The sequence below is a fragment of the Homo sapiens genome, chromosome 7 (genome assembly GCF_000001405.40).
Source record: "Homo sapiens chromosome 7, GRCh38.p14 Primary Assembly".
NCBI classification, from domain to species: Eukaryota; Metazoa; Chordata; class Mammalia; order Primates; family Hominidae; genus Homo; species Homo sapiens.
Genome location: NC_000007.14, coordinates 8,155,555 through 8,175,060, shown reverse-complemented (window position 1 = coordinate 8,175,060; position 19,506 = coordinate 8,155,555). Strand labels below are relative to the sequence as shown.

Genomic DNA, 19,506 nt, shown 5'->3' with positions numbered 1-19,506 from the left:
GCACATGAGATGATCCTTTCTCTCTTTTGCCCTCCAGATGGTGGAATTTTTGTCTCCAAGGCCCTGTTTAACCACCCATTCCTCTCTTTCTCTTAGCAGTGGAACGTGTATTTCTCCCTGGCCTTGGTTTAAAGTCTTTCTCACTCATTCTTCGGTTTCTTTCCCCTACTATTCAGGTGTAATTCTCTTCAGCGCAATGGTAGAATGATGCTGCCAAGAGTGGACGTGTTTGTGTTTCCCGCATTAAAGAGTATGAATTGTCTCATTTGTCTCTCTCTCTGTTTTTTTTTTTTTTTTTTTTTTTTGAGATACAGTCTGGCTGTGTCACCCAGGCTGGAGCACAGTGCAAGTGATCCTCCCGCCTCAGCCTCCTGAGTAGCTGGGACTATAAGTGCTCACCACCACACCCAGCTGATTTTTTTATTTTTTTGTAGAAACCCGGTTTTGCCACGTTGCCCAAGCTGGTCTGAAACTCCTGAGCTCAAGCGACCCACCTGCCTCAGACTCCCAAAGTGCTGGGATTACAGGCGTGAACCACCACGCCCAGCTTTCATTTTTTTTCTTGCCATCTTGGGGGAAATTCTCACACTATAATGTGGGGGGCAACTTTATATGCACATTTAAAGCTCATTCATTTCTAGTGCACTAGGTTCGTTATAAAAGCATACAGAAAAAATGTATATATAAATGAGTTTTCTGTGGCTGCTTATTACTACAACTATTTATATTGTCATAGGTACCTTTTCAAAAGTCAGTTTTTCAATCACCCATTAAGTCAGATTAAGAGGAAAGATCATGTTCTCTATTTGTTGATGAACTTACAAAACATGTAAAACAGACGGGAAAAGAAATACATAATTAAAGAGACTGACCACATTTCCTAGAACAAGCCACGCATACTCCATTCCCAGGGCCTTTGTGCTCACTCTTCTTTCTGCTGAGTCTTCTTCCCCCTGAGATCGGTATGGTTTGCTTCCTCATTTCCTCCAGGTCTCTGCTCCAATATCACCTTCTCAGAAAGTCTTTCCAAGACTATTCCATATGAAACAGAATCCTCTACTACCCCTCCAAACCCTGCACTCATATCTTTCTTACAATGCTTTATTTTCACCAACAGACAATATGTTTACTTTTGTTATTTATTGTCCAGTTTCACCCACTACAACATAACCATCATGAAAGCAAAGACTTTGCTTTATTCTCTGCTTATCTCCAGCACCGAGAGCTATAGGTGTTCAATTATATTGCTTGGGAGGAGGAAGAGAGGGAAGAAAGGAATTAAGAAGTAAGTAATGGTGTCAGGAAAATTAAAACCTGGAATGGCCTGAGGTTTATGAAACATCTTAATAACAACAAGGCTGTTGTGAGCATGAAATAGTACCTTGGAAAGACAGGCCTGCTACTGGAAACAGATTATATTCCTTCTTCATTTATTAGTTGGAATGCTTCAGCAATGAATAACTCCCTTGTCAATTATCCGGTCGTCCTGAAGCACAGACAGTTTGATAGGATATGCAGGATAAATGTTTGTTTCTTTTTCTTTGTCAAAATATTGAATTGGTTCATTAGCATTCTCTACAGGTGCCCAGTGAGGGTTTTGTTTGTTTGTTTTTCTGTTGATTTGTTCATTTGCTTGTTTTTAAGTATTATTATGAACTCATAGATTTGGATATATTTGATGTGTTTTAATCGTTGCCAATATTAACTTCATTGATGCTCACAATGTCTCATTTTTGGCTAGTGGGAGTCTCTTAGGTTGACTCCTGAGTCCTTTTGACCCCAGTAATAGCCTTCTTTGCTTTCTGGTACAACCGAATATTTCAGAATCATCTTATGTATTTCCTTCCCTAGTCCTGGAATCAGCAGTTTTGTCAAGGAGCCCTGGTTACTTAGAGAGGGGACATGATAGTCAGAGGCCGTGACCTCATTGCTTCTAAGTTAGCCGTTACTTGTAGACCTTTACAGTGAACAGAGCCAGAAAATGCATTTTAAATGATTAAATCTTAATAGGGAAAGCAAAGAAAGCAAAGCAACTAAGCCCCTATTTTACTTTCACCTCCGTTGTCAGTGATATTTAAACTGGAAATGATAGAAAGATTTTAGGGAAAAATTGAAGCTCAATCTATGAAAGGAGCAAATGTGTGCTAGTTATATTTAAATACATTTAGTCACCAGACTAAGATGAATTATGTCTCAGAAAGAACTCATGTATGCAAGCACAGTAATACTGCCAGTGACATTTGAGAAATCAGAGGTGCCAGAAATTGCGTAACAAGAAAATATTGTCCTATTTTTAAAAGAGAATTTTAAAACTTGAAAATTGAATGTACTAAATTAAACTGTGTTCTTAACCAAATCTAGAACTGATCACTTCTAGATGGTTTATAAGCAACTTAGAAAAAACATGTGATTATTTCAAAGCAGAATGAGTTTATTTTAAATCTAACACCAGACCAACCCTATTTATTCTTGTTATATTTTGTAAGTCTCATAGTCATCTCTATAGATATAAATGGAGTAAAGTGAGTTATAGATTGGATTTTTTCAAAAGCAAGATCTAGCTCTATGCTGTCCATAGCACACACCTTAAATGTAAAGAAACAGATTTATTCAAAACAAAAGGATAGATTAATATATAGCCTGCAAATTCTAATCAAAAGAAATCTGAAGTGGCTTTATTCATATCAGACAAAAACATACTTCAGCACAAGGACTATTACCAGAAATAAGGATATTTATTGAAGATAATAGGGTCAATTTATAAAAAGGATATAACAATCCCAATGTTGTCTACAACTGATAATAGAATATAAAAATAGAATAAGAACTTAAAGGAAAAATAGACAAGTCTACAATAATAGTTGAAGATTTCAACACTCATCTTTCAGTAATTAATGGAAGAAATAGACAGAAATCAATAAGGATATAGAAGACTGTCAGCTACCTTGACTTCATTGACATTTACAGAATGTTCCATTCAACATCACAGTATATGTTCTTTTCAAGTGCACATGAAACATTCACCAAGATAGACTGTGTTTAGGTTTATAAAACAGGTCTGAATAAATTTTTAAAAATCAAAATTATGCAAAGTAATCTAGTTATGACAGAATTAAACTAGAAATCAGTAACAAATATATATCTGTAATATCCCCTGAATAATTGGAAATTCAACAATATTTATCCAAATAACTTGTGGATTAAAGAAGATGTCACGAGGGAAATCAGGATATATTTTGAAATAATTGAAATCAGAACACAACATATCAAAATGTGTGGGATACAGCTAAAGCAATGTTTAGAGGGAAATTAAAACCATTAATTATTAGAAAATAAGGAAGTTCTCAAATCAATAATATAAATTTTTATCTTAAGAAACTAGGAAAAAAGAACAAATTAAACCTAAGTACACAGAAGACAGTAATTAAGAGCAGGGGCAAATGAAACCATAAACAGAAAACAATAGAGAAATCAAAAGCTGGCCTTTTGAAAAGATCAATAACATTGATAACCTATAGTCAGATTGGTCAGAAACAAAAGAAAGAAGACATAAATCATTAATACTTAGAATTAAGGAGGACATTACTATAGACAGTACAGGCACTAAAAGAATAATAAATATTATGAACAACTTTAAGCCAACAAATTTGATAACTCAGTGAAATGGACAAATCCCTTTAAAGACAAGCTACCAAAATTCACTCAAATAGAAATAAATAACATGGTAGCCCTATATCTATGAATAAATCATATTTGTAGTTAAAAATCTTTCTACAAAGGAAACCTCAGTTCTATATGGCTTCACTCATAAAATGTGCCAAACATATACGGAAGAAATAATATCAACTTTACATAAACTCTTCCAAAAAAATGAAAGAGGAGTGAACACTTCCCAGTTCATTTTATGAGGGCAGAGTTACCCTAATAGCAAAACCAGAAAAAGATATTATAAGAAAAGCAAACTACAAGCTAATGTCCTTCATGAACATAGACAAGAAAAATTATTATCAAAATATTAGCAAAAGGAAATGATGATGGGGTTTCTTTTTGGATTGATAAAAATGTGCCAAAATTGATTTGGTGATGATTACACAGCTCTGGGAATATACTGAAAATGATTTAATTGTACACTTTAAATATGTGAATTGATGTTTCCTCCTAAGATCAGGAACAAAATAAATATGCTTTCTCACATAAACTTCTGTTCAACATTAACATAGCCAATATAATAAGGCAAGAAAAATAAAAGACATATAAATTAAAACAGAAGTAAAGCTGTCTTCATTCTTGGACAGCATGTGTACATAGATGTATCCACATGAATTTTTATGGAAAATTCTAAGGAATCTCCAAAAGAACTTTTAAAGCTAATCGTTGAATTTTGCAAGGTCACAGTATACAAGCTGAAGTTATAAAAATTAATTATATTTCTAGTAATGAACAATTAGCAATTGAATTTTTTAGAAATTATAATAGCATCAAAATATGAAATGTTTAACAATAAATTTAACAAAATATATGCAAGACCTGTGCACCAAAATCTACCCAAAAAGTGCCAAGACAATTTAAAAATCCAATAAATGGAGAGAGAGAATGCATTCCTGGGTCAGAAGATATTAAGATGTCAATTGTTTCCAATAAATCTGTAGATTCAATGCAGTCCTAATAACCCCCCAAAGGCTTTTTTGTAGAAATTGACAAGCTGACCCTAAGATTTGTATAGAAATGTGATGTACCTGGAATGGGCAAAACAATTTCAAACAAGAACAAAAGAGTAAGATTTATACTACATGATTTCAAGACTTACTGTAAAGTGACAGTAATCGAGACAGTGTGGTATTGGCATAAGGACAGACATATAGATCAGAATAATAGAAAGTCCAGAAATAGACCTACACAAAAGAGCCAAGTTAAGGCGGTTTTTCAAGAAGTGGTGCTTGGACTATTGGGTATCCGTATTGAGGAAAAACAAAATGAGCCTACATCTTTGTCCCACACCATGTGTAAATGTGAACTTGAATCAGATCTCAAGTCTAAATGTAATAGCTAAAAATACTACATTTCTAGAAGAAAAAGTGCAGGAAAACAGTCTTTTAGACCTTAGATTAGGGGAAGGTTTGTTCAGGCATTAAAACACACACACACACACACACACACACTCAGGCATTAAAACACACACACACAACCATAAAAGAAAACTTGGTAAATCAGACTTCATCAAAATTTAAAACGTTTTTATTTCAAAAGGCACTATTAAGAAAATGAAAGGCAAGTTCAGACTTAAAGAAAATGTTTTCAAATTTAGTCTGATAATGAATTTGTATTTAGAACATATAAAGAACTCTTAAAATTCAGTAATAAAAAGATAAACCCATTTTTAAAATAGGTGAAAGATTTGAATAGACACATTACTAAAAATATATGTGGCAAATAAGATATGAAAAGAAGTTCAATATCATTAGTCATTAGAGAAATGCAAATTAAAATCACAATAATTATGACTATAATGGCTTGAATTTAAAAGACCGAAAATGCCAAATGTTAATGAGGATGTGGAGCAAATAGAACTTGTATTCATTGCTGGTAGGAATACAAAATGATGCAGTTACTTTGGAAAATGGTTTGGCAATGTCTTATAAAGTTAAGCACACACTTACTGTATGATTTAGCAATCCTGCCCTTAGACATTTACCAAAGAGAAATGAAAAATGTGTTTACACAAAGACTTTTGCTCAAATATTTATAACAGCTTTACTCAAAATCACCAAAAATTGGAAACAATAAACAAAAGAGCCAAAAAATTGATGTACAAGTAACAGTATATTCATACAATTAAATACTACTTGAGAAATAAAAAAGAACACACTACTAATACATGCAACAACACTTATCTCAGAAAGGATTGTGCTGAGTGAAAGAATCCAGCCACAAAAAAAGACTATAGACTACTTGGCATAATTCTATTTATATGAAACTGTAGAAAGACAAATATAATCTATAGTGACAGAAGTCAGATTAGTAGTTGGCAGGAGCTGGGACTTGAGGGAAGGAATTGACTACAACGGGAACTTTTAGGAATATAGAATGTCTTATATCATGATTGTGGTCATAGTTGCATAACTATATACGTTTGTTCAAAAATTCATAGAATTGCACATCTGAAATTAAATTGTAGCTCAACAAAGCTGCTTAAAAGTAATGATGATGAAGATGATGATATGATAATGAAGGAAATAGAGGCATCATCTCCAAGGTGCACAATAAACAGATACCCTCTCTGCATACTTTTCCCCTAAAAACAGGGAATCCACTGACCACAGTGCACTTGAGGGAATTTGATGGGCTAATTTCTTTCTACTGCGTTGAGAAGCCTGAGCTAAAGAAACTTAGCAAGATTTCTGATAATAGAAGCTCTGTTCAGGCTATGTGGCTTGAAGTTTCCCTATGCCTACTTTGAAACTGATAAGATCAACATTGTTGACCAGGGGTTCTTGAGATGGTATCTAAACATTTTGTGCACATCTCAGAATACTGTCAGTCACGTGGTCAATGGTGGTAGATTTGTGACCCTGTGTCCCATGGTTTAAAGAGCATGGATTATACAACCAAATACACCTGAGTCTGGATCTGATATTTATTTGTCAGATGAGTATCTGGGTCTCGATTTCCTCTTCTGTAAAATAGGGATTTCCCAAACAAATGTTATGGCATGTAATAGGTGGTATCTGATAAATGGAAAGGGTTCTGTGTTTCTAAAATAAATTTTGGAAACACTGGAGTAATCAAAGTTAAAAAGAAACCTTTATCATGAAACTTCTTAGATCCTTTCATATGAATTGCTAAGCAGGCAAAAGTAAGCAGCCTGTGTCTGTGCTATCCGGATTCCACAAAACAGAAATTCCTCTTGATTCATTGAGGCAAGCAGAGGAGTTAATTAGAAATCCCATGTGACCATAGGAAAAGCAACTGGATCCAGAAACTTTAGTGCTACTAGGTCTCTCAGTCTCTCCGTCTCTCTCTCTCTCTCTCCCTCTTTTTCTCTCTCTGCTCTCTCCCCCCTGTTTTTCTTTGTAGGCCACCTTTGTTCTCTCAGACCAATGTTCCTTACACCACAAGAAATTTAAATGGCAAGATTGTCTGCCCCTAATGCTTTAGCCAACAGAGAAGGAAGGAGACTTTTTCACTCTAGCTCCAGGTTCAGAAATCCTAAGGAAGGGCTCTGATTCACCCAGCTTTGATCAGGTGCCGTTCACTGAATTAGCCAACCACAGTGCATTATGATTAATTCAACTTGGGTAAAGATGTCCATCCCTGGTCTAGTCAGTGGAATTTGGCCTATAAAAAGGCTTGCCACCCCCCATTTAAACCACGTTATTAAAGTAAAGAGAAGAAAATTGTTTTGTTTGTTTAATAATGCTTTTTTTTAACATTTATTTTAGGTTCAGGGGTACAGGTGCAGGTTTGTTATTTAGGTAAATTACATGCCGGGGGGTTTGGTGTACAGATTATTTTGTCACTTAGGAAATAAGCATAGTAGCTGATAGGCAGTTTTTTTATCCTCACCCTCTTCCCACCCTCCACCTACCCGCAAGTAGGCGTTGGTGTCTGTTGTTCCCTTCTTTGTGTCTATATGTACTCAATATTTAGCTTCTACTCTAGGTGAGAACATGCAGTATTTGTTTTTCTGTTCCTGTGTTAGTTCACTTAGGATAATGACCTCCATCTGCATCCATGTTGCTGCAGAGGACATGATCTCATTTCTTTTTATGGCTGTGTAGTATGCTATGGTGCATATGTACCGCATTTTCCTTATCCACTCTACCACTGGTGGGTGTTTAGGTTGATTCCATATCTTTGCTATTATGAATAGTGCTATGATGAGCACATGTGTGCATGTGTCTTTATGGTAGAATGATTTACATTCCTTTGGATATATTCCCAATAATGGGATTGTTGGGTCAAATGGTAATTCCTTTTTAAGTTCTTTGAGAACTCACCAAACTGCTGTTCCCAAAGGCTGACTAATTTACATTCCCACCAGCAGTATATACACATTCCTTTTTTCTGCAGCCTCACCAGCATGTCATTTTTTGACTTTTTAATAGCCATTCTGACTAGTGTGAGATATATCTTACTGTAGTTTTGATTTCATTTCTCTATGATTAGTGATGTTGAGCATTCTTTTCATATGCTTCTTGGCCATGTCTTCTTTTGAATAGTGTCTGTTTATGGTTTTGGCCTGTTTTTTAATCAAGTGGTTTGTTTTTTGCTTGTAAATTTAAGTTACTTATAGATTCTGGATATTAGACCCTTGCCAGATACATAGTTTGCAAATATTTTCTCCCATTCTGTAAGTTGTCTTTTTTCTCTGTTGATAGTTTCTTTTGCTGTACAGAAGCTCTTTAGTTTACTTTGGTCCCATTTGCCAATTTTTGCTTTTGTTAAATTGCTTTTGGCATTTTCGTCATGAAATCTTTGTTAGGTCCTAGTCCAGAATGGTTTGTCCCAGGTTATCTTTCAATGTTTTCATAGTTTTAGTTTTTTCATTTAAGTCTTTAATTCATCTTGAGTTGATATTTTTGTATGGTGTAAGGAAAGAGTCCAGTTTCAGTCTTCTGCATATGCCTAGCAGTTATCCCAGCACCATTTATTGAATATGGAGTCCTTTCTCCATTACTTGTTTTTGTCGACTTTGTTGAAGATCACATGGTTGTAGGTGTGTGGCATTATTTCTGGGCTCTCTATTCTGCTCCACTGGTCTACGTGTCTGTTTTTGTACCCGTTCCATGCTTTTGCCTTATGTGCATATAGGCCCACAGAGAAATCTAGCCCTAAGAAGTAAATTGAAGGTTCTTTTCATGATAGGCCATTATTAATAATTACGTTTTACTGGTAATTAATAACACCAATATGCTGTTTTGGTTACTGTAGCCTTGTAGTATAGTTTGAAGTCAGGTCATGTGATACCTACTGCTTTGTTCGTTTTGCTTAGGACTACGTTGGCTATTTAGGCTCTTTTTTTGGTTCTATATGAAATTTTAAAATAGATCTTTCTACTTCTGTAACGAATGGCATTGGTAGTTTTATAGGAATAGCATTGAACCTGTGATTGCTTTGGGCAGTATGGACATTTCAACAATATTGATTCTTCCTATCCATGAGCATGGAATATTTTTCCATCTGTGTCATCTCTGATTTCACTGAGCAGTGTTTTGTAATTCTCACTGTAGAAATTTTGCACCTTCCTGGATAGCTGTATTCCTAAGTGTTTTATTCCTTTTGTGGCTATTGTGAATGGGATTGCATTCTTGATTTGGCTTTCAGCTTGGTTGTTGTTGGTGTATATAAATGCTGATTTTTTTTATAATTGATTTTATATTTTAAGACTTTGCTGAAGTTGTTTATCAGATCAAGAAGCTTTGGGAAGAGATGATGGGGCTTTCTGGGTATAGAGTATTATTATCTGCAAACAGGGATAGCTTGACTTCCTCTCTTCCTATTTGGGTGCCTTTTCTTTCTTTTCTTGCCTCATGGCTCAAAGCTAGGACTTCCAATATTATGTTGAATAGGAGTACTGAGAGAGGGCATCGTTGTCTTGTTCTGGTTTTCAAGGGGAATGCTGAGAAGAAACATTTTTTCAATGAGGTAAGGATATCGTTGAGGGGAGACCAAAAATAGATCCTGAAGTCTACTGTTGGCTGCCCACACACATGTGTGGTGCACACACATTCACTTACACATACTTCTTTGCATAATAAAATATGAAAATTGCTTCTGCCATGAGTGGATGCATATATGATAAATGAAGTAACATAAATTGTTAATTAAAGGAAGTGTTAATTAAAGGAATTCAGCAAAATTCTTGGTTATTTGGCCCTCGAGAGGTCTTGGTTCATCAGCCTCGGATGAAAAGATCCTCTTTTAATGAAGCCAAATAAATATCTGACCTTCTGTTTTGGGGTGTTTGTTTGTTTGTTTTTGAGACAGGGTCTTACTGTCACCCAGGCTGCTTCTGGAGTGCAGTGGCATGATCACAGCTCACTGCAGCCTCCACCTCCTGGGCTCAGGCAATCCTCCCACCTTAACTCTCTGAGTAGCTAGGACTACAGGCAGGTGCCACCAGCCTGGCAAATTTTTGTATCTTTTGTAGAGATAGGGTTTTGCCATGTTGCCCAGGCTGGTCTTGAACACCTGGGCTCAAGCAGTCCACCCATCTCAGCCTCCCAAAGTACTGGGATTACCAGTATGCAGCACTGTACCCAGCCTGACCTTCTGTTTTTGAAGTGACTTCAGATGGGCTGGCTTAGACTTTCTCCTGTGGCACCTTATTAAAGGCCAAAAGAAGTAATTGATATATTCAGTGATCTTAAAATTTTCCCTGAATGCAGGATGTTGCCTCAGGGGAAAATAGGGGTGAACAGATCCAGTTAATGACGGAGGAGTATTAGAGCTGATTGGGGAAGAAGGCCAAGATTTCTGATGTGGTCTGAGGTGTCCATGAGAAGTTGATGTGAGTAGAACTGGCTGGTGGAAAGGCAAGCTAGACAATAACATTAAGTCTGGGGTAGTCAGGTACAGAGGAGTCATCCTCCACACCCCAGCACTCAACCCCTCACCAGGGCCTGCTTTGCCTCTTAAGTGTCTTTTGGATCAGAGCAGTATTTTCCATAACCAGCATCACTATCCAAATCTAAACTACTAACATCTTTCCTCTTGACTCCAGATCTATTCTTTTTTTTTTTTTTTTTTTTTTTTTTGAGACGGAGTCTCGCTCGGTCGCCCAGGCTGGAGTGCAGTGCGACGATCTCAGTTCACTGCTACCTCTGCCTCCCAAGTTCTAGCGATTCTCCTGCCTCAGCCTCCTGAGTAGCTAGGATTACAGGCGTGTACCACCACACTATCAAATTTTTGTATTTTTAGTAGAGACGGGGTTTCACCATGTTGGCCAGGCTGGTCTCAAACTCCTGACCTCGGGTGATCCGCCCACCTCAGCTCCCAAAGTGCGGATTACAGGCATGAGCCACTGAGCCCAGCCCAAATCTATTCTTATCTACCTTCAACTCTCTCCTTCAGTCCATCTCCCACTGCAGTGAGTAATCTTTCAAACTGAAAATAGGATCCTCTCTCTTCCTTGCTTAAAAGCCTCCAGTGTTTTTCTGCTATTCCAGGATAAAAATTAAAATCCTGAGCACGCCAACAAGGTGCTGCTCCAGGATGTGCCCCAACTCACCTCTCTGCCTCATCTCATCCCACCCTCCTGCTCGTTCTGAGCAACGCAGCTACACTGACCTACTCTCAGCTCTAGGACCTGCTTTATTGTCCTCCACCCCACAACCCTTGCACACACTTTTCCTTCCACTGGACTTCTCTCCCTCCTTGCATAGTTAATCATGCTAGTCCTTCAGAGTAGAGGTTGAGCACCATGTCCTCGGAGGACATCCTCTGGGTCAGATTCCTTGGTCAATCATTCTTGAGGGACTATGTGACTTTCCTTCTGAGTACCTCACTCAGTTCATAGTTACACCTTCGCTGATCTGAAATATACCCAATGTACTATCGATTCCATTTGTGCCGACTGCTACCAGCATATAGAAGATACTCAATAAGTATTTGCTGAATGAATGGATTTAAGGCCAGAGCTATCTCCTATAAGAAGATATAAAAATGAGAGTAGAATCATTGTTTTATTTTATAAGGTTAATAAAACTCTTAGAAAAATGCAAAACTACTGTCATATTATTGGTTGTAGAATAATAAAGACCTTTCCACTGGATAGAAAAGCCAGATTGAACTGAAAGTACGAATAGCTTTGGCTTCACCATGCGTTGTTCAATTTGGGGCTAAGAGTTAGAATTTCAGGTTAGAAGGAATAAGTACAGAGAAGGGCTCTGATGTTTTGCCAGTCAAATCATTGCTCCTTTCTCTGGTAAACTGAATTGCTGTGGCCTGAGGAAGACAGAACCCAGACTAAGGAGGCTCTAAAATACATGGCCATTAGACTAGGCGCAGTGGCTCATAGCTGTAATCCTAGCACTTTGGGAGGCCAAGGCGGGCGGATTTTCTGAGGTCACAAGTTCAAGACCAGCCTGGCCAACATGGTGAAACCGTATCTCTACTAAAAATACAAAAATTAGCCAGGCGTGGTGGCGCAAGCCTGTAATCCCAGCTACTAGGGAGGCCGAGGCAGGAGAATTGCTTGAACCCAGGAGGCAGCGGTTGCAGTGAGCCAAGATCGCACCACTGCATTCCAGCCTGGGTGACAGAGCGAGACTCCATCTCTAAATAAATAAATGACCATTTCCTACAACTTGGAGAATAAGAGAAGATAGATGGGGTAACAGAAATAAAACTAAGAAATAAAGGGTACATTTATTTGAGTGAAGAAAATTTTAAAAGGGCCTTCAAAACCACAGGAGCTCCTCAAGATATTTATGTAATAGAATATAACTTATCTAGGGTTGAGAGGAATAATAATCAAGACGTTTGTCACTTAAGTGCATCTGGAGGCATATGAAATTAGACTCTTGATAGTGGCCTATGCTTGGCTATGTCCTTGGTGTTTTAACCTCAGGCTTCAGGCTGGAAATGTGTTTTCTAGAGCAGACATGGAGCACAAAATATTAAATGAACTTTGCTGTATTCAAAACGCCCAACAGTGTAGCATCCTCCCTGTTTGGCAGGGAAAGGGCTCAGCATTTGGAAACTCAGCAGTGCATTAAGTATTTTAATAATCATTGTTGACATACAAAGCATATGGCCTTTCAGAATCATTGGGTCAAGTGTTGAAGTTGTCTTCTAGGTTTCTAAAATTACCTTACAAAATTCAAACAAAATGAAATTAGGGTACATTTCAAACTACGCTAATTCATGAGCTTTGTGTTATAGCAAGTGAAATAAGTTTTCTCCTAAGATATAAGAGAATCTATGAGTAACTGATTATGTTAACGTAAAGGAAAAAGCAAAATTGACACCCCTGCAGAAAAAGTTAATTCGCATTTCGTTAGAAAATCTAGAGGTTCCATATAAGTAGGCCAGCCTTACGAATACCTTATATTTACTTTGTACCTCCTAGTCATGCCTAAGACCCACCTCAAATATCCCATCATTTCAGAAGCCTTCATTGTCTGTTTCCTTACAGTTTATATCAGTTGTCTATAACCACAATAATGCTGTGAAATAAGCAACCATAACACTCAATGGCTTAAAACAATAAGCATTTCTCATTGCACACAAGGCTATGGTAAGCAGGACCATTCTCGTCTTTGTGGGCTCACTTGTGTCTGTGGTCAGCTGTGGGCAGGGAGGGTCTCTGCTGATAATGGCTGGGCTCCCTCACATATCTCAGAGTCAGCTGGTCAAAGACTGATCTGCTGGGACAACTGGTCTCTCCTCCTCACGTCTCTTGCATGCATATGTTTCTCACCCCCCTCCAGCTGGTCAGCCCAGGCATATTCTGATGGCCCTCTCAAAGAAGCAAGAGAGAAAGTGGAAACAGGCTGGCATTGTTTTGTCAAGCTTACAGTTTCATTACATTTGTTAACATCCCATTGACCAACGCAAGTCACATGGCCGAGCTCAGAGTCAGAGTAGGAGAACACTACAGAGTTACAGGGCAAAGAATGAGAATACAGGGAGGCCATTAGTTAAGGCTTTAATGCCATCATCCTACAACCCCACCCCTCTCTGTTCCACCACCAGCATTAATCATTTCCTTGTCTGTGCTGTCTCTCTGTTCCTCTTAGTTCTATGTTTTTAATTTTCCCATTCTATTATAATATAGTGACTAACTTGTCTGTCCTCCTTAAGAGATGAGGGGGTCTTTATGCTATGTGCATTCATTTATAAATATTTATTGACTCCCTGTTATGTACCTCATTCCTTTACAGCTTTATAGACACCCTAGTTCCTAGCGTTGGTCCTGACACACACCAGGCACTCAGTAAATACGTGTTGAATGAATACATACTTGAAAGCTCCGACTCCCACGTGTATTTTCTTCCCCTTTGTAGGAAAAGGCTGAAGACAGATGCCTTTCAGGACCCCAGCTGAGGCGGCCTTCCTGGCCAGAGCAACCGATGACCAACACAGGGATCTACAGTGAACATCTTCCCCTCCAGACTCCCCCGATTCTCCCCTCCAGAAATTAGGTTTTCTTTTTTCTGCCTTCCTATTCCTCTCAAAGGGAGGCAGGAAATCTCTAACACTTACTCATCCTAGACTCTTTTTATAGTCAGAGCTCCCAGGGAATTTAAACTACTGGCTCTTTGCTCTGCAGTGGAGAACCGTCCAGCTCATGGTATGGTCAGTTTGAAAGGAACTGGGTGGCTACTGATCTTTGATCTTCCCAGATCTGTAGACCAAGAATACAGAAGAAGTCTTAGGACAGTTTTGACATAGCTATAGACACAAGATTCTATTCATACAGAGTATTAATTCTTTCTATCAGTGTAGTGTTCAATGTACTGCCTCATTATTTTCCAATTCCATAGAATCCTTCAGGGAAAACTTGTATTTCTGGGTAGAATCATAATTCTGAGCTTCTTGATTTTCCAGTGAGTAGCCTAAGTTGCTCGGGAGGCAGAATAGCATGGCTTTGGAGTCAGGCCGGCTAATTTAGAATGCCAGCCCTGCCCATGAGTAACTTGCCTTGATGAAGCCTCGCAATCCTCATCAGTAAGAGACAGTAATAACAGCAGCCAAAATAGAATGATGCTGACATGTGATAAGTAAATTGTATTCACTGTTAGATTTAGTTATTATTATATAACATCCTATAATTTTATACATTGTGAATATGTTCATATTAGTGGTGAAAATGAATGTATTTTATATAAAATGATCTATGTATTTATTTTTATTAGAAAATAAAATCATCACTTCTTAAACTACATTAAAGGTTATACTTTAAAATGCATGCAAATACCTCACCTTTTGCAATGGCTTGAAAAATTTCTTTATTCAGCCAACAAATACGTATTCAGTACCTGCTTTGCGCCAGGTTGCTAGGCAATATAATGATGAACAACGTAGACATGGTCCATGCCCTCCTGGTATCCTATGATGAAAGAATTATTAATACATCAGTGTTACTTCCAACTCTCAGTAACCTATCTAGTATCTATAACTTTACGATGATCTGAGATAAATTAATATTTGAACTCATCACACTGAATACACTGAATATGTACAGCTTTTTATATGTCAATCATACCTCAGTAAGGTGGTTTTTGAAAAATTGGCTGGTTTTCTCTAGCCAAAATATGCTGTGTTGACACTATAGATTGAAGGAGGGTGTAATTTTAACTTCATATTTTGTTTTGTTTTTTGGTTTTGTTGTTGGATGTTTATTTGTTTGTTTTTTTTGAGACAGGCTCTCACTGTCACCCAGGCTGGGGTGCAGTGGCACAATCTTGGCTCACTGCAACCTCCACCTCCCACGCTCAAGTGATCCTCCCACCTTAGCCTCCCCAGTAGCTGGGACTATAGGCGTGCAACCCCACACCTTTGTTGTTGTAGAGATGGGGTTTCACCGTTTTGCCCAGGCTGGTCTCAAACTCCTGAGATCAAGTGATCCACCCACCTCAGCCTCCTAAATTGTTGAAATTACAGGTTTAAGCCACTGTGCCTGGCCTTGACCTCACAATTTTCAATGCAGCCGTATCAAGTTGTAAAACTTTCTATTTTGTTATGAAATAATGTGTAAAATAGATGTTTCTGAATCTTTCCCTGACGTTCACTCCATCCCCAAATTCCTGTATGGTTTAAGGATCGATGGAGGATTACTAGTACACGTTACTCAGTAGTAAAAAGTTTCATCCATGGGAATAGTTTTTTTAGGCTGTGTCAAAATTCCCTCCGACGGGATCTTAGATTGGATCCTGGAACAGAAAAAGGACATTAGTGGGAAAACTGGTGAAATCCAAATAAAGTCTGTAGGTTAGTAAATAGGATTGTATCACTGTAAATTTCTTTGTTTTAACAAATGTAGCATGTTCTATAAGATGTTAACACTAGGGGAAGCTGAGTGAAGGGTATGAGGGAACTCAGCTTCTAAAGACTGTAGGAAAACAATGGAGCAAAGCTGATTTCCTCACCACCCTGCTTGTCTCCAGTCTTCTCCCAACCATGATCAGTTTGTGAATGCCTTGAGAAGAAAGGATTTTAACATTAGACTAAGAAAAATAGAATTAGGATGACAAGTGTGCTATAAAATCATAATATGCAGTACTCTCATTTGGCTCCTTTGGAGGTAAAGAATGGATGTTGTAACATCTTCCCATTTGTCTGGAATTTTCAAAAGTCTTTTCATATGTGAAAGAGAAAAGGCCTGCTGTTGGTCTCATTTCACCTGCAAATTTTACCTACTTAAGGGTTAGGGTGATTCAGAAATTCCTCTTTATTTTCATAGGTACAAACACAAGTGCGCCTTGCAAAAAAAAACTTTGACAAATTGAAGATGGATGTTTGTCAAAAAGTGGATCTTCTTGGAGCGAGCAGATGCAATCTCTTGTCTCACATGCTAGCAACATACCAGGTAACAAAATAATGTTTGTTGCAATGAACCAAGGATGGCACAAGGTTTAAATAACATCAAAATGGTGTTTGAGCTAAAAGTAAGCTTTGGCCATTGTGAAGTTCTGAATGCCTTTCCGTAATTTCACTTCCCACATCTCTGCCTTCTAGGGCCCTACGTTTAACCAAACCAAATAGTAGTTATTTCCTGTATATACCATAATTTCCCACTTCTGTACATTTACTTATGGGGTCCCTTCTACCTGGAGTGCCTTTCTCCTCCATCCGTGCCTTTCCAAATTCCATTCTTTTTAATGTACGAGACAGAATGTCACGCCTTTTTCAGTAAGCCTCCTCTGAACTCACTTAGCGTTGTGTCTGTCCATCTCGTGGCATATCTTTCTCATCAGGTTGTCAGTATTCAATGCATTGTTTTTGTTTCCCCTGATAGCCTCTGAGTTCCTTCCGGATAACACTGCATCAACAATGCTACTGAGCACCAACTGAGGGCAGGATGCAGAATGCTGGATGTTGTAGGAAATATAACAGTTAAGACCAGGGCTGGGCACAGTGGCTCTCACCTGTAATCCTAGCACTTTGGGAGGCCGAGGCAGGCGGATCACTTGAGGTCAGGAGTTCGAGACCAGCCTGGCCAACATGGTGAAACCTCGTCTCTACTAAAAAAATACAAAAATTAGTCGGGCATGGTGGTGGGCGCCTGTAGTTTCAGCTACTTGGGAGGCTGAGGCAGGAGAATTGCTTGAACCTGGGAGGCGAAGTGAGCCGAGATCGCACCACTGCACTCCAGCCTGAGCGACAGAGCAAGACTCCATCTCAAAAAAAAAAAAAAAAATTAAGACTAGGTTCCTTGTCTTCAAAGAGCTCAAAGTTTAGGAAGAATCTGGAGATAGTGAAGTCTATTTTTCTATACCTCTAGGACAGAGCAGAGTGTGCTAAGTGAAATAAGTTCTAAGAAAGCCAGTGACAGCTTAAAGAGGGAGAAATAGAATCAGCTGAGGGATTGCAACAGTAGAGCGTTAATTATTTACCCTGGGTTTTGGAGGATGGATCAGATGAGAAAAAGAGAATGGAGAGGAGAATGTCCCAGGTGGTGGGAGCAGCATGAGTTCTGGGAGGCAGCATTTGGGGAAACAGGGAGGCATTTAGTTTGGCTGAAATACAGAGTGTAATTGGGGGCATAATGGGAAGCATGGAAATGAGTTAGAATCATGCTTTAAAGAATCTTCAAAGCTACAGAGAGTCATACTTCCCTGGGGACCAGGACTAGAACTGGGCATTCAAAACATTAATAGCTTTACTGTCTTTCTTTGCAGACCACTCTGCTTCATTTTTGGGAGAAAACTTCTCACACTATGGCAGCCATCCATGAGAGTTTCAAAGGTTATCAACCATATGAATTTACTACTTTAAAGGTATGGAAGCTAGAGGGGCCACTAGAAAATCTTGAGAAAAGTAAAGTTTTGTTTATATCACAAGCAAAGTCCATTGCAGAAAGCATCATTATTCCAGGACTCAGAATGCTGAAGAGAGAACTGTGCCCCCAGCAGAGTCTTTTTCTTTCTTTCTTTCTTTCTTTTTTTTTTTTTTTTTTTTTTTTTACTGCATCAGGATTCAATACAATGAGAATCTACTGCAATCCAAAAGCGCGAATTGAACCTTGAACCTTGAGATACATGTTCCTGGGAGATGAATTGTGGTGAACTTGAGTCTAATGATTGGTCCTGCTCCTTTAAAATACTTGTTTGACATTGCTAAAGGGGAGATTGTACAAGTCCCATAAACTCAGTTACTTTTAATTATTATATTCAAATATCCTCACTTGAGAAGGTGTCCTCCTTTCCTCTCTTACTTCTGAAATGTATCATTTTATTCTGAGAGTATTATCCAACATAAAATTGAATTTTTCTGTAAGACTACAGCAATATTTTCTAATTGAAAAAGCAGTATTAAACTCAATGATTTTTCATCTCAGTAGGGATACGTGCACAGTGTCTGATTCTCAGTATTGGATCTGCACATGGAGTGTTTTTCTCTCTAGTGGTTACAGAGGATGAATGCATATTGAGATAAAGAAGTGATTTTGGTTCCAAAAGGATTTTAAGGATGATGAGAGAACAGTGGGTACTTCATTGCCAGGTCATGTCTTTGCAAGAAGAAAACGAGGCATGAACTAGCTAAAGTTCACCTTGAACTTGCCTTGCTCTTTATCGTTCAAGCAATTTGTATGTGTTTCATCACCTTGCTTGACAAGACGTTAAAACATTCAAATGCATTTCTTTTGCTTTAAACCATTTTTTTGATTCTGAGATGTGTATAATGTCAGTGCATACATACAAGTACCAAAAAATGCTTTAAGACCCTGGCCCTTAAAATGAAGGTTCCAAGAGGAACCCAAGAAAGTCCACTCACCTTGTGCTGCACCTGACCTGGCTCCAGACAGGACACCTGGCCAAAGAATTTGTTCTTCATTATCCTCTCCCAGCTGGCCGCCCGCCCATTGATTGGCACTAGCTGGCATGTTGCATGGTGAATGCGTTCACAGTGAGCACTGTTTTGCTCTGTCAACTATAAGCACTTCAGGGGAAGGAGCTTTTATTTCTTATGTATCCTCTTTTGTCTAGCCAAATGTTTTGTACACAGTGTGCCCTCAGCCTTCCCCTTCACACTGGCAATGTTACCGTTGTTGGTAGGGGCTTCATCATCTCTGATTTACTGCACCTTCAGAAGCAGGCATTCTGACCAAGGCAGATTGGTTAAAAGTATAATGCACACTATTCACAATTCTTATACAGGCCTGAGCAAAATCCCATGGATTTTACTCTTTGATAAAGCAGAGGCTTTTAGGGTTTAGGGCATGCATGTGCATCGGGTTTTCTTTTATACATCATTTCAAAGCTTATCTGTCTTTTACAAGACAACTGTACATTACATACACCAACCAGTTAGAAGATGAAATGATGCCTACCCCAAGTA

At 38.3% G+C, this 19,506-nt stretch overlaps 1 protein-coding gene across 40 annotated transcripts in view; it reads left to right on the top strand.

Annotated features, from left to right (window-relative positions):
- The window catches only part of ICA1 (islet cell autoantigen 1), a 149,372-nt gene that overhangs the window by 87,495 nt on the left and 42,371 nt on the right, over positions 1–19,506 (top strand). For 37 of the 40 annotated variants that reach the window (NR_146928.2, NR_146926.2, NR_146927.2 and 34 more), the window contains 2 exons: positions 16,409–16,534; positions 17,847–17,945. The exons of 1 other annotated variant lie outside the window; for it this stretch is intronic. Coding sequence is in view for 33 of the 39 variants with exons in the window: in XM_024446741.2 (XP_024302509.1) it covers positions 16,409–16,534; positions 17,847–17,945 (225 nt within the window). In the remaining 6 variants the exon portion in view is untranslated. Of the gene's footprint in view, positions 1–16,408; positions 16,535–16,963; positions 17,061–17,846; positions 17,946–19,506 lie in introns of those variants that run through there. 2 more of the 40 variants (XR_002956427.2, XM_011515357.3) reach the window with 2 other exon arrangements.